This window comes from Homo sapiens, chromosome 20, assembly GCF_000001405.40.
Source record: "Homo sapiens chromosome 20, GRCh38.p14 Primary Assembly".
NCBI classification, from domain to species: domain Eukaryota; kingdom Metazoa; phylum Chordata; class Mammalia; order Primates; family Hominidae; genus Homo; species Homo sapiens.
In genome coordinates this window covers 44,100,175-44,115,133 of record NC_000020.11, presented here as the reverse complement: position 1 = coordinate 44,115,133, position 14,959 = coordinate 44,100,175, and the positions used below count along the sequence as shown (strand labels likewise).

Here is a 14,959-nt window from a genome sequence, read left to right as displayed (position 1 = left end):
GCCTGATTCACACACTATATGACTTGGGGCATGATCTTGTCCCTCCCTGGGTCCTGAGGGATTTGGTTATTTCTAAGAGTCCTTCCAGCTGTGATGGTCTGCCATCCAGGTGACAGGATACAGCAGTGAACAAAGCCGGCAATGCTCTTAGGAAGGTCCATCCAGAAGTTCCTGCTCTGTCCAGCCTTGCTGTGACCTGGGTGGGGGGTGTCTCCGAGGCCATGGGGACTCAGGAAGCCTCTCTCCACTGCTCCCAGGTCCCCAACACCATCCTCATCTGCATGGTGATCCTGCTGAACATCGGCCTGGCCATCCTCTTTGTTCACCTCCTGACCTGACCGTCGCTTACCAGGTGCAGCCAGCTGGCTGGAGGAGGGGTTGGGGGGCAGGAGCCCCTGGGGAGTTTTGAGCACCAGGGTGGTGGGAGGAGGGACCTACTCGGTACTTGGATGACAGTCCTGTGACTAATTGAGGCCCACCCACCTGCAGAAGCCAAGACCTAGAGTGTGATTTGATACCAGCGCACACACACACACACACACACACACACACACACACACACACACACTTACTTCATTAGCTTAGTGTTTGCAGAGCACCTGCTCTCTGTCAGGTGAGCACTGAGGGCTTCATTCACTCATTCATTTGGCCAACATGTACTGCTCTGCTGGGAGATGGGGATACAGCAGGGACTCACTCCTGCTCCAAGAATGGGGTGAACATAATGAAAGTAACCCTGAACTTAGAGCTCATTACAGAAAAGTCTTACCGTTCAAACACTGAGCACAACAGGTCTAGACTGAGCTCACCTGGGACGGTGGGACACTCATCTCCGTGCTCCCTTTCTCTCTTCCCCACTTCAGTCTTTAATCCCTTGGCACACCCAGCCTGCTCCTGTTCCTCTGCCCATTGGTTCCCTCTCAGTTTTTTCCCCATGATGGAGCTGGGGGCTGGGGTAAGTTCCCGTGAAGTGGAGTGGGCTGGGCTGGGCTGAAGGAGAGTGGCCCTCACTGCTCTCAAGGTGAAGCATCTACAAGACAAAATCTTCCCCCTGCTGGAACTAGCCTTCACAGCCTCAATCCCATGCTTGGCAATAATAACAGGGTTTCTGCCTTTTCCTCAGGCCCCCTTTTTTGATCCTAGCTTAGTTTGGGCTGGAGGTTCTTAATCAGCCCCAGGAAAGTCTATGCTGTCACCATGTAAACAGTCAATGACAATACCAGCCTGGTAAGTGCTGCCGTAGGGGTGAACACTTGAGCTCTGCAGGTTCCATGTTTCAACAGGGGCTCTGGGAATGCTTCCTGCAGGCACTGATTCCTTTAATGACCTGAAGGGTGAAAAGGAGTGAACCAGATGACAGTGGGGGAGGAAGAGGGAAGAGATGAGTGCAGCAGCAAAGGGAACAGCATGTGTAAATAAACAGGCAGGCAGCCAGGGCCAGGAGAGGCCTCGGGGACCCGTTTGTGACCTGCCGAGTATCAGAATCAAGGGACAGGGCTGTCTGGGGGGATGCAGAGGTGGGATCTTGCCCCAGAGAAGATGAGCCCCAAGGCTTGAGCCCTGCACCTGGCTTGGCGGCCCAGCCTCTGCCCTCCCTCCCTTGCCTGACCCTTTTGCTGTCTCTTTGCAGAGCCAGAAGTTCCTGCTGAGGACATGAGGACCCGTCTTTTTGCAGTGCCAGGCAGGGTGGCCAAAGAGGACTGGACTCTGGACCTGGAGCCCCGTGGTCCAGTTCACATTCACCCCACAAGAGTTTCAGGAGGCCTCCCACGGTGCCTGTGCTGGGTGGCGGTGGTGGTGCCAAGAGGAATGGAATGTCCTGGGCTCCTTCAGGAGCTCTCTACCCAGGGGCAAGGAGAGCCCAGAGAGAAGCGCCCTGGTCTCTTGAGCTTCCTGATCTGCTCCTGTCCCCCGCTCTCCTCCACTCCCTTGCCTTTCCCTAGGTTGTCCCCTCCCTGGGCTTTTGTGTGTTTTGGGAGATGTCACCTAACCAGGACATTGATATTCAATCCCATCCCCCTTCCTCCCACCCTGCCCCACTTTGATTTAATCCTTTGGCTGTGGGCTGAGGCCTCCCAGGGAAGCTGGGTGGGGTGGGTGTTGAGACCCCCTCAGACCAGCACAGAGACCTGTCCTTGTGCAGTCTGCACCCTGCACTCCCTCCCTTGCCTGTAGATGTTCTGGATGACAGTAGAGGAAATGGACAAGGTCAGTTTGAATATCCCAGAACACAGTGCTCTGTCTCCTCCCACCAGTCCAGTTAGCTTCCCTTCTGGACCAATAGACGAGGGGAGACCCCATGGATCCTCTGGCTGGGAAGCCACTGACCAGGTGGCCAGGGGGCAGGGTGGGAAGAGGGGTTAAGGTGCAGTGATGATGGCCTGTTTTGGAGTGTGTCTGAGACTGGGATTGCATTTGGGGTTTCCCGTGTGCTTGGGATGCTAGAGGGTCACCTGCAGGAGGCCTGGGGCCGGCGAGAAATCTCCTGTGATGCCCTGTGAAATGGCTTGTCTCCTCCCCCATCAGGGCCCACCGAAAGCTCAGGGGAGCACAGAAGCCCATGGAAGCCCAGGGAGATGTCCCTGGGGCAGACACTAAGGCAGGTGTTGAAGACAAGCTGCTTGTCAAGAAGCATTTCCCGGCAAGAGAGGGGCAAGTCTGGGGCTCCAACTGGGTACAGCCTGGGTGCAGTTATAAGCCCCTTTGGCTTACTTGGTAGAAGATGGCTACTTGGATGTACCTCACTTAAAGATGTTTTGTACCACACTAGGTCTCTGGGCCCTTGTGCTTCCTGTGGGTGGGGTGAGGGCCAAAGGCTATGGTTTCCTGCCTCCAGGAGAATGGAGAGAAAGGGCTTCCAGGCCCCTCCAAGCCTGGGGAAGGACGTGGCATCCAAGCTGAGCCAGAGGGAACTGCTGCTGTCCTCCCTTCATTTCTGTGGACCTTGGAGGCTTTGGCTTTGTGGCAGGGCCTCCCCAGGCAGCTCTGGGACCTAGGAGTTTGCTTCTGATAGGGTCAGCTTTCCCATTTCCCTTCAATGCTTGGGAACCTTCTCCCTTAGCTTCACACTTGCCGTTTCAAGCCCTGCTGGGACCTTGTGGCTTGGCTGGAATCCAGGACTGTATTTTCATGGAGAAGAACCTGCAGATTCTTCCATCCTCAGCTGGCCATGGCCCACAGCTCTGCATCTGCATCTGAGCTTCTCAAGACTCCTGGAGCATGAGGGGAATGGGGCGGGGCCACTGCTCTGTGCTGACGGGCTCCGTCTCGGAGATTCTTGTCCTGTTTTTTTTCTGTTGTTTTTTTTTGGCTGGTGCTGGGGACAAGCCTGTGCCTGCCAAAGCTCCCAGGCCAAGTTTGGGGGCTGGTGTTTGGGGTTGGGTTTGGGGTTCAGGATGCTGCAGTCTGTGCAATAATAAACCCGCATCTGCTCACGGGCTCTGGCTGGGCTGCAATGTGCTTGTGGGTCCAGGATGAGGGGCTGGCTCAAGGAGGGTGGGTGGGAAGAGGCTGGGGGACGTGGGTCCTTCCCATCTGTGTCCTTGTTCTCACGATCCTTGAGGGGCAGCTGAAGGGCTTCAGTTTGAGTGGGGGCTGAAAGACCATAGAGCTTCTACAGTGGAGTTTCTAAAGCAAACTTCCAGAAACTTCTATGAGTAGATGACAATAGAATCAAGAGCCTGCCCTTTGAGGTGGAGTCCCCCCAGCCTCCAATGCTAGCCCAGCCACTTTCTTCGCTTCTCTGAGCCTCAGTTTTCTCATCTATAAAATGGGGATAATTACAGAGCCTACCTCCTGGTAGTGAGGATTACATTAGATGTTGAGGCTGTAGAAAGCAGTGGAGAAATGGAGACGAGTGTTGTTATCACGCTATGGTGCTGTTAGCTCTGCTACAAGCCCTCTTGCGTTTTGGTAGAGGATCCCAGGGACCCCAAAGGGATGGAGGTGATTCAGATACCAGTTGTTTAGTCAGAATATCTCAATCAGTGGGGGAGCCTGAGGGGATCGCCACATTCCACAGAGGCTTAGAGCAGAGGGACTTGCCCAAGGTCACGCACACAGCAAGTTGGTGGCAGGAAAGCAGTTCTCTTGACTTTTTAGGAATAAGTACTGCCCATGAAGTTACTCTCACAGCCGGTGGTTCCCAGCGAGGGGGTTGGAGAAGAAGGTCCCTCAACCAACAGTAGGCTCGAGTTCAGGCACACCCTGTCCTCAGGAGCCTGGCTCCCCTACCCAACCCAGCCCTATCACTGATGGGCCATGTGCTCCCTCACTCCCTCTTTCTGTGCCTCAGTTTCCTCTTCTGCTGAGGAGACTCTAATCCCTGCCCCATGGTCTTCCTCATAGGCAATGCAGTTGTGAGGCTCAAATGAGATAGATTATGGTGATAAAGAGGTTTTAAGCTGGGCATGGTGGCTCACACCTATAATTCCAGCACGTTAGAGGAGGCTGAGGCAGGTGGATCACTTGAGGTCAGGAGTTTGAGACCAGCCTGGCCAACATGGCAAAACCCCATCTCTACTAAAAAAGAAAATACAAAAATTAGCCAAGTGTGGTGGCGCGTACCTGTAAACCCAGCTAGTTGGGAGACTGAGGCAGGAGAAGCACTTGAACCCTGGAGGCGGAGGTTGCAGTGAGCCAAGATCAAGCCACTGCACTCCAGCCTGGGTGACAGAGCAAGACTCCATCTGGAAAAAAAAAAAAACACAAAAGTTTTCAAAACTCTGGAATGATGCTGGGATTCCAGGAAGGATGGGCTTGGAGGAAGCACAGGAGGGGAGGTGGGAGTGGAAATGGGGAGGGAATTGTTATCTGTAGCCTTTGATAAAAACCCACAGAGGGAAAGCAGGTGGGCAGCCAGCCCAGTTGGCCGGTCTGCAGATGGGGTGTGTCTGTGTGTGTGTGTGTATGTGTGTGTGTTGGATGAGTTGGGGGCAGGGGTGGCTGTATTGAACTCACTTTGGATGGTGTGCAAAGGAGGCGGCTTCCTGAGCCCCAGGTTTGGAGACTCAGAGCCAGGTAGGGTTAGTCGGAGACAGCACCCCCTGTTGGCTCAAGGGTAGGACACAGCCAGGCCGATGCCTCCTCTTCTAATCTTGACCACAGGCAGCTCTAGGAAGTCTGATGGGTCTCCTGCCATGCCCGGAATGCATTTAAGGTGGTTTGTACCATGCATGAACTTAAAAGCAATGCTGGCCCACTGCCTTGAGGTCTCTGCAGGACTCTTCCAGGGCAGTGAAAGGGAGGGGACCTAGGAACCGTGGGAGTCAGATTTGGGATTCGGGCAAGAAGGGAAGTTTCATAATCTGATGGACCCACAGAAGACCTGGCTGTTCTGGGAGAGATGCAGGCCCAGATGATGACCTTTGGAGGTGCCATGCCTGAAAAACTGATATGAAGATGCTCTCCCCCAAATAAGTGACTCAGAATACAAATAATACCTAAACTGTAAAACATAAAACTTGCATGTATGCTGAAATTAAAATAGCTCTTAGGTTCTTGTTTTGTGCAAAACTCTGACTATGCCTATGGAGGCCAGTTCCCACTCCCTCACTCTCTCAGCCTGTCTTGCTGGTACACTCAATGGAGTCAGGTGGCCGTAGGTCAGGCCCTGTGCTAAGCCCTTCACCTCCTGTATGTGGTGGCAGAACAGCTGTGTGGTTCAGAACATGGTTGCTGGTTCAAATCTTGGCTCTGTCCCTTAACATCTAGAACTTTCTTACTTTTCTGGGGGTGATGAATACCATGTTACCTGCCTCTTCAGATAGAAAATATGAACACAGCACTTAGAACAATTCCCAGCATGGTGTGAGCAGATGGTAAATGCACTGCTATTTTCCATTCTTCGCAGTATCTCCATGGTGTAGGTATTCGTCCACCCATTTTGCAGATGAGGAAAATTGAGCCTTGGGGAGATGGAGTGATTGGTTCAAGGTATCACAGAGAGGGAAGGACAGAGCTGGGACTGAAACCCAGAGCTGTGCTCTTTTACAGAACCACACTGCTCCCACCATGAAAGAGTGAGCTTCCCATCACTGCAGATGAGCCAGCTGAGGGGAGATGCTAGTCAACAGGGATGTGGCAGGGGACATTTGTCTATTGGATATTAGTGGATGTGATGATTCAGAATTCCTGAAGGAGTTCAGGGAAGGAAGTTTCCTTCTTCTCTGAAGAAGCTTGAGGAAATAACTCCTTAGGTTGTCAGAGATGGAGGCACTCTAAGATATCAGCTCATCTGGCCCCCTGTTTTTCATATGGGGAAACAGGTCTGGAGAGAGTGTCGTGATTTGTAAGGATCACACAGCAAGTCAGTGACAGAGCCTGGACTGAGCGGGGAGTCATATTTTGTCCACAGACCAACTGCAGGTGAGACCCTCATGTACGGCAACAGATGCCAGGGCACCTCATGTGTCAGAACATTCACCATTCACTCCAGGCTGTCTTGACCAGGTGCCTACATTACAGTCACTTCTTCTTCCTCTTTTCTTTTTTTTTTTTTTTGAGACAGAGTCTCATTCTGTCACCCAGGCTGGAGTGCAATGGTATACAGTCACTTCTTAGTGACCTTTTAAAGCTATTTACATCTTGAGGCTGTAAAGTCAGCAATCTTGAGGCTGTAAAGTCAGCAAAGTCTGAGGGAACAATCTCCCCCTCTCCCTTCAGACCCCAGATACAAGTTTGGGGATCTCCAGGGCCACCATCAGTTCATACTGACTGGCTACAAACAAGGGGGTTCCTATGATTATCCTCATACTCAATAATTCACTAGAAAGACTCACAGAACTCACTGAAAGCTATTCTACTCAAGTCACATTGATTACAAGCAAAGAATGCGAATCAGAACCAGCCAAGGGAAAGGGACATAGGAAGGAATCTGGGAGGGTTCCAAATGCTAAACACCCGTGTCCTCGGTATCTGTTACCTTGCCAGCATTGATAAGTAACAGTATGACAAAGTATGGCCAACCAGGGAAGCTAACCAGTGCTTCAGTGTCCAGAGTTTTTATTGGGACTTCATTATGTAGAGGTGATTGATTGAATCATTTCCCACATGGTTGAACTTAACCTCCATACCCCTCCCCACACCCAAAGGTCAGGCTGACATCACATAGCCCAAAGCCCCAATCTTTTAACCCTGTGGTTGATTTTTCTGGCATGGCCAGCACTCACTATAAGCCATCTGGTTAGCATAAGCTGTGAGTTGTGGTCCCAGGAGCCCACCATGAATAACAAAGACACTCCTGTTAATCAGGATATCCTAAGGGTTTAGAAATTACTTCCTAGGAGCCAGGACAAAAATCAGACCTCTCCCTCAAGGCCCAGTTGCTAACTACACAACCCTGTATCTCTTCCTATCCACAGCTTCTCCACTAGACTGAGTTCCTTAAGAGAGGGGCTATCTGTGATTCATCTCTATATCCATGCATTAGTTAGTGTAAGCTTGGCTGAGGTAATTGACTCCACAGTTTATAATTGCTATACACCATATAAGTTTGTCATAGAATAGCTGTCCCTCATCATAATGATTCAGGGACCCAGGTTTTTTCCATCTGTGGTTCTACATATCCTAGGGCTTTTTTGGTCTCTGCATCTGCCAAAGGAAAAGGAAAGAGAGTATGGAGGATGGAATTTGCTTCCTAAAAACTTTCACCAGGAAAACAGCACACATCACTTCTGCTCATATTCCACTAGCCAGAGCTCAGTTGTTTGGCCTCAACTAGCTTCAAGGGAGGCTGGGAAATACGGACTACATGTGTCCTCAGGGAGAAGAGAAGGATGTGGGTTTTGGTAAACAGACAAGACAGTACAGCCTGTAGTACCATCCCCATTGTCCCACTTAGGTCTCGGGGCAGAGTAGACATTCAGTGAGTGCTTATTGAGGAAATGGATATGGTGGCCATAAGAGGCAGTATGGTTGGGGAGTGGGGATGGGTTGGGGCTTTGGAATTGGACAGACCTAGTTTCTAATCCTGGCTATATCACTTCTTTGCTGTATGTGGAAGATGCCATCACTGATTGGATTCTGCAGGAGCAGACACTGAGAGTCACCTAAGCTGCAAGATGTTTATTAGGGATCAAAACCTGTGAAAGGAAGGAGGAAAATGCAGAACAGGGCAGAGGAAGAAGTCTAACTTGATGCAGGCCTGACAAAGTCCAACCCAGTGGGAGCTCCAGAGCAAGGATTGCTTGTAGAGCATCTCCCATTGGGCTTTTATACCCCTCCCTTGCTCTGTTACTGGGTGATATGGTTTGGCTGTGTTCTCACCCAAATCTCATCTTAAATTCCCACCCACACGTTGTGGGAGGGACCCAGTGGGAGGTAATTGAATCATGGGGGCAAGCCTTTCCCGTGCCGTTCTCGTGGTAGTGAATAAGTCTCATGAGATCGATGATTTTAAAAAGAGGAGTTACTCTGCACAAGTTCCTCTCTTTGCCTGCTGCCATCTAGTAAGATGTGACTTGCTCCTCCTTGTCTTCCACCATGATTGTGAGGCTTCCCTAGCCACTTGGAACTGTGAGTCCCATTAAACCTTTCTTTTATAAATTGCCCAGTCTCAGGTATGTCTTTATCAGCAGCATGAAAACGAACTAATAAACTGGGTATGGGCTGCTCTGGGAAGGGCATGACCTTGGGTGAGACAGCTCTCTGAAGCTGGGGCAGACCCTGAAGGAACTGACAACTGGAAGTTGTCTGCTGACCACACTTCCCACTGCAGAGAAGCAAGTCCTTCTTGAAGGGATAAATGCATGATGCTTCTCTTTCTCTACCACATACCCAACAGCCATTCCTAACCCTGCTCCTATCTCTGCCTCCACTACAGAGGCGTGAGCAAAACTCATGATCAAAACTCATTTCCTAGCTTCCTTTGCATCTAGGAGTAGCCTTGTGATCCAGGAGACGTAATTGTCCACGAAACATAAGGGAAAGCTCACTTGGGGTTTCCTGAGAAAGACTTTCTTCTATGATAAAAGAAGAGATGAAAGCAAACAAAGTCTCTCTTGCTACCTTGGCTTTCCCCCTTATTCTTGCTTTTGGATGCAGGTTGGGGGTCGTGGGTGCTGATGCTTGGAGCTGTGGCAGCCATTTCACAACCATGAAAGGAAGGTCAAGAGAATTGCCAAGATGCCAACCCAGTTGATTCTGAAGCTACTGAATCAACTCTTGAACCATCTACAACCAGACTTCTTGTTAAGTAAACAATAACTGTTCTCAAGATTTAAGCCCCTCTTCATCAGGTTTTTTGTTACTTGGGGCCAAACACATTCTAACTGTTAAAATGTATGATCCAGGGCAGGTTACACAATGTCTCTTAAACTTCATGCTTTTGTTGAGATCTTTCTGACACACCAAAGCTCTTCCCATACCCCAGATGCTTCTCTACACAGGAGGTTTCCTGGCAGAGCATGGGTATGTGTGTGGGAATGGGGGAGTGGTGGATGAGGGGGGTGCAATTAATGTGGCCTTTGTACAGAGCCCATTACAAATGGGTGGGATTGGTTATGTGCACAAGGTGGTTTTTAGGTATGTGGATGAGGGGAAAAGGAGATCCCTGAGCCTCATCAGAAATATAAAAAGAAATTATAACATCATTTGAGATACATGAAAGTTAAGCAGAAAAGGGAGAGTGGAATGAAATTCTCAAAAAAGAAAGCAAGTGTAGTAGTGCAATATTGCTGTGATAATACTGCATGACAAGCAACCCTCACGATAACAACCATTTTTTTTCTTGCTCATAGATCTGTGGGTTGACTGTGTTGGCTCTGCTTCAGGCTAAGGGAAAGGTTCAGGTTTCCTCCAGTTGTTTCTCATGTTGGGACCAGTGCCAACGGAGCATGTTTATCTTACGGTGGATGGCAGAAGTGCAGGAATGAAAGCCTCTGCTCCTATCATGTCTGCTTAGATCCTATTGGCCAAATCAAGTCCCATGCCTGAGCCCAACAACAGTGGTGTGGGGGAAGTAAACTCTTCCAAATCTAGAGGCAGGTACTTACCACAAAAAAGTGGACATATGATTTCTTTTCTTTGAGACAGGGTCTTACTCTGTTGCCCAAGCTGGAGTGCAGTGTTACATCATAGCTCTTTGCAGCCTCAAATTCCTGGGCTCAAACTGTTCTCCCACCTCAGTCTCCCAAAGTGCTGCGATTACAGGCATGAGTCACCACACCTGGCCGTATTATTCTTTTATACGGAGTGAAGAATTGGGAATAAAATCCCAATCTACCACCGCAGGAGAAGTCACAGAGAAAAATACAGTCAGAGGAGGGGGTTCCTATGAGTGTCCAGTCTCCAGCCATGATGACATTATCCCTTCAGACTACCTGATCCTTTTGGGCTGCACTGATACTCACCAAGGACCCTCCCTCCAACTCCACTCATTATTTCATTTCACAAGTTCAGTTTTTTCCCCATGTTCTCTTCTTTCCTCATCTTTTCTTCCCCCCAATCCTATCTAATATCAGCCAGTAGAATTATCTTTCTTAGTATCTACTTGGATTGGGTCCCTATATCCAGGTAGAGACAGTGAGAAAAGCTAGTGATTACTCTTTTCTTAGACATGAACACCTGGACATTCCCCAGTTGGTGGTTTAACTTCTCCCTCTTTGTTCCTCCATTTATTTTTTAAAATATTTAAGGAAGTCAATGACTTACAGAACCTTTCATGGGCACTTGGATTAAAGAGATACAAGAGGCATAGTCCTTATACTCCAGGAAAGAAGACCTGGAATGTCTTACCTGATGGCCTGGCATTAAACATGCCAGGACAGAGGGATGTGCAGGAGGCTGTGAAAATACACAAAAGCATTGTGAGTTTGGAAGAGAGGGAATGGAGAGGACTCTGATTTTACCCCTACCTATCCTTCCAGGATGATTCCTGGCACACAGCTCTCTGTCTCAGACCCGTTAAATACAATTATTAGTGTGGTTATTGTTTATCTGCCTTTGCCAGTAGGCTGTAAACTCCGTGCACTTAGGGATGTGCCTATTTTGTTCATTTTTGTTGTCTTAGTCCTTTTGGGCTTCTGTAACACAATACCACAGCCTGGGTACCTTATAAACAACAATTTATTTCTCATGGTTTGGGAGTCTGAGAAGTCCAAGATCAAGGCACCAACAGATGTGATATCTGGGGAGGGACTGCTTTCTGGCTCTCAGATGGCACCTTCGCTCTGTGTCCTCACATGGTGGAAGGGGCAAGGCAGCTCTCTGTGGCCCCTTTCATAAGGGCACTAATCCCATTAATGAGGGTGAAACCCTCATGACCTAAGCACTCCCAAAAGCCCCACCTCCTAATATTGTCACATTGGCAATGAGGCTTCAACATATGAGTTTGAGGGGGACAGCAGCATTCAAACCATAGCACCTGGATTCCCAGGTTGTTACACAGCTCATTAATGGCTCATAATTGGCACCACTATGTTGTAAAAACTATTTTTTCCTGATTTCAATAAGAGTGAAAAGATCTCAAGGTGGTAGAAGGTAAGTGGCAGTACTTAACTTTCACAGACAAGGTGAGTGCAAGTTCTGTATGGGCAACGTGAACCAATAGCAATCAGAAGGTTTGACATGCAGGGATTTTTACCAGGAGCTAATCAATCCTGGTATCCTTGGGGAGATGAAATAGCTGGACCATCTGCTAAAGTATTACTGGACAAACTGTAGGTTTGATAGGCAAAAGTCTAACTTGAGTCACTGCAAAAGAAAGCCACGGCTTCATACCTAGTTCCCAGACCTAAATAAATTCACAGACCCAGAGAGCCTTGACTACAGAGGATGGACCTCACAATGACACCTTTGTTAGAGGACAAAGGTGTTCTTTCAGTTTTTTGAGGAATCTTCAAGGTGTTTTCCAAAAGGCTGTACTTATTTACATTCCCACCAAGAGTACACAAGGGTTCCCATCTCTTCACATCTTCACCAACACTTGTCACTCATCTGTTTGGTAATAGCCATTCCAACAGGTGTGAGGTGAAATCTCATTATGGTTTTAATGTGCATTTTCCTAATGATTAGAGATGTTGAGTATTTTGTCATGTATCTGTTGGGCAATTGTATCTAATCTTTAGTGAAATGCCTGTTCAGAACCTTTGCTCATTTTTAATTGGGTTATTTGTTTTCCTGCAGTTGAGTTTTTGAATTCCTTATATACTTTGGATATCAGCCCCTTTTCAGATTTATAGTTTGCAAATATTTTCTCTCAATTCATGGATTGTTTCTTCAGTCTGATAATTATTTCCTTTGTTATGTAGCCTGGAAGTTATGTAACCTAGAAGAAATGGATGACTTCCTAGAAGCATGTGACCTACAAAGATTGAATCTTTATGGGAAGTTTAAACATTAGTAATTCAACCTCTTTACTTTTTATAGGTCTACTTAGGTTATCTATTTCTTCTTGAGTCAGTTTTGGTAGTTTGTGTCTTTCTAGGAATTTGTCCTCCTCCACTCTTCTAGTGGACTTCTAGAATACAGATGCGATCATGCAGCTCTGTTGCTTACCTATGCCTTTTTTGGCTCTATATTTTCTGCAGCATTAATCTCCAAAATCAGGGGCAAGCAGTGCAAGGAATGCACAATATTGAATGTGAAAATAGATATTATTAATTTCTACATATGTATTATTGAAAAACAAATATGTTTAATATATTGCTAATATATTGAGAGTCATAATTGTGAATAAGCTTTAAAGGTATACAATTTCTTTCTTTACACTTTTATTTTAGGTTCAGAGGTACACATGTAGATTTGTTATATAGGTAAATTGCATGTCATGGGGGTTTGGTGTAGAGGTCGTTTCATCCCCCGGGTAATAAGCATAGGACCTGATATGTAATTTTTTTATCCTTACCCTCCTCCCAACTTCCACCCTCAGGTAGGCCCCAGCAACTCTTGCCCCCTCCTTTGTGTTCATGTGTATTCAATATTTGGCTCTTACTGATAAGTAAGAACACATGGTATTTGGTTTTCTGTTCCTGTGTTAAGTCTACTTAGATTAATGGCCTCCAGCTCCATCCATGTTGCTGCAAAGAACATAATCTTGTTCTTTTTTTTGGCTGTGTAGTATTCCATGGCATATAGGTATCACATTTTCTTTATCCAGTCTACCACTGATGGGCATTTAAGTTGATTCCATGTCTTTGCTATTGTGGATAGTGCTGCAATGAACATATATGTGCATGTGTCTTTATGGTAGAATGATTTATATATATGCCTTTGGGTATGTATCCAATAATAGGATTGCTGGGTTGAATAGTACTTCTGTTTTAAGTTCTTTGACAAGTCGCCAAACTGCTTTCCACAATGGCTGAACTAATTTACATTCCCACCAGCAGTGTATAAGTATTCTCTTTTCTCTGCAACCTCTCCAGCATCTGTTATTTTTTGACTTTTTAATAATAACCATTCTGATTGGTGTGAAATGGTATCTCATTGTGGTTTTGATTTACATTTCTCTAGTGATTAGTAATGGTGAGCATTTTTTCATATGCTTGCTGGCCATGTGTATGTCTTCTTTTGAAAAATGTTCATATCTTTTGCCCACTTTTTAACGGGGTTGTTTTTTGCTTGTTAATTTGTTTAAGTTCCGTATAGTTTCTGGATATTAGACTTTTGTTGGAGGTATAGTTTGCAGATATTTTCTCCCATTCTGTAGGTTTTCCATTTACTCTGTTGACAATATCTTTTTGCTGTACAGAGCTCTTTAGTTTGATTAGGTCCCATTTGTCAATTTCTGTTTTTGTTGCAATTGTTTTTGGAGTCTTCAACATGAAATCTTTGCGAGAAGCTATGTACAGAATGATATTTCCCAGGTTATCTTCCTGGGTTTTTATAGTTTTAGGTTTTACATTTAAGTCTTTAATCCATCTTGAGTTGATTTTTGTATACAGTGTAAGAAAGGGGTCCAGTTTCAATCTTTTGCATACGATTAGTCAGTTATTCCAGCACCATTTATTCAATAGGGAGTCCTTTCCCCATTACTTATTCTTTTAGTTTTGTGAGTAAACTCTTCTTTTCTTTCCCTCTGAAGTCTTGTCAGATTTTCTCCTAAGATTCAGTCTTCAGAATTTAAACAGAGCATGTGTCTAAGGTGAGTTCTTTAGGAATTAATCCAGTCCTGGAAACAACGTGCTCTTTCGGTGTCAAAATTTGAGACTTCCGGCCAGGTGCAGTGGCTCGTGCCTCTAATCCCAGCACTTTGGGAGGTGGGCAGATCACTTGAGGTCAGGAGTTCGAGACCAGCCTGACCAACATTGTGAAACCCTATCTCTACTAAAAATGTGAAAATTAGCCAGGTGCGGTGGCATATTACAGGTGGTGCACCTGTAAACCCAGCTACTTGGAAATCTGAGGCAGAAGTGCTTGAACCTGGAGGCAGAGGTTGCAGTGAACCGAGATTGCACCACTGCACTCCAGCCTGGGTAACAGAGCAAGACCCTGTCTCAAAAAAAAAAAAAAAAAAATCAGTCTTCAGCTCATTGAACTTATCCTCTCAAATAGGATTAATTGTCCAACTCTTCTAATTCTGTATTTCCCTGCAGCCTGGATTCTCGTGGGGTGTTTTGCACCTGCCTCCTAAATGTCCTCCCTTCCCCTGGTCTACCTGTTCTTTCATCCCTATGAGGAGATGTCCTATCACTTACTATACCATGATTCCCATTTATTCCAGTCCAACTATTGGATATTTCTTTTAATTTTTCAAACATTTTACTTCCAGAAAGTCATCAAACCCAAATTGCATTTTCTTGAAAGTTCTTATTTATTTGTTATTAAAGTTTTCTCATCTCTTCCACTAACTCTTTCACCTTCTTTAGGAGTTAATTGTACAAATTGCCTTTCTTTTTCCTTTTGCTTTTTTATGCCAGGGTAGTTAATAGTGGAGGTAGTGAAAACCAACCACTTAAAAACTAACAAGCAGACACTAAGTCTTTTAAATGCATGATAACATGTAATCCTATCAACGATA

General features: G+C 46.7%; 1 protein-coding gene across 1 annotated transcript in view, besides 1 other annotated feature; it reads left to right on the top strand.

Annotated features, from left to right (window-relative positions):
• The window catches only part of JPH2 (junctophilin 2), an 80,599-nt gene extending 72,055 nt beyond the window's left edge, over positions 1 to 8,544 (top strand). The window contains exons 5-6 of the mRNA NM_020433.5: positions 258 to 352; positions 1,631 to 8,544. Of these exons, the coding sequence (NP_065166.2) occupies positions 258 to 338 (81 nt within the window). The 3' untranslated portion in view covers positions 339 to 352; positions 1,631 to 8,544. The remainder of the gene's footprint in view (positions 1 to 257; positions 353 to 1,630) is intronic.
• Positions 3,333 to 3,846: an enhancer, noted in NCBI's record as "H3K4me1 hESC enhancer chr20:42739928-42740441 (GRCh37/hg19 assembly coordinates)". NCBI's record gives its function as "activates a minimal SCP1, AML or CMV promoter by ChIP-STARR-seq in primed H9 embryonic stem cells {active_cell/tissue: H9 hESC(primed)}" and the evidence as "EXISTENCE:reporter gene assay evidence [ECO:0000049][PMID:30033119]".
• Positions 8,545 to 14,959: the final 6,415 nt, after the last annotated feature.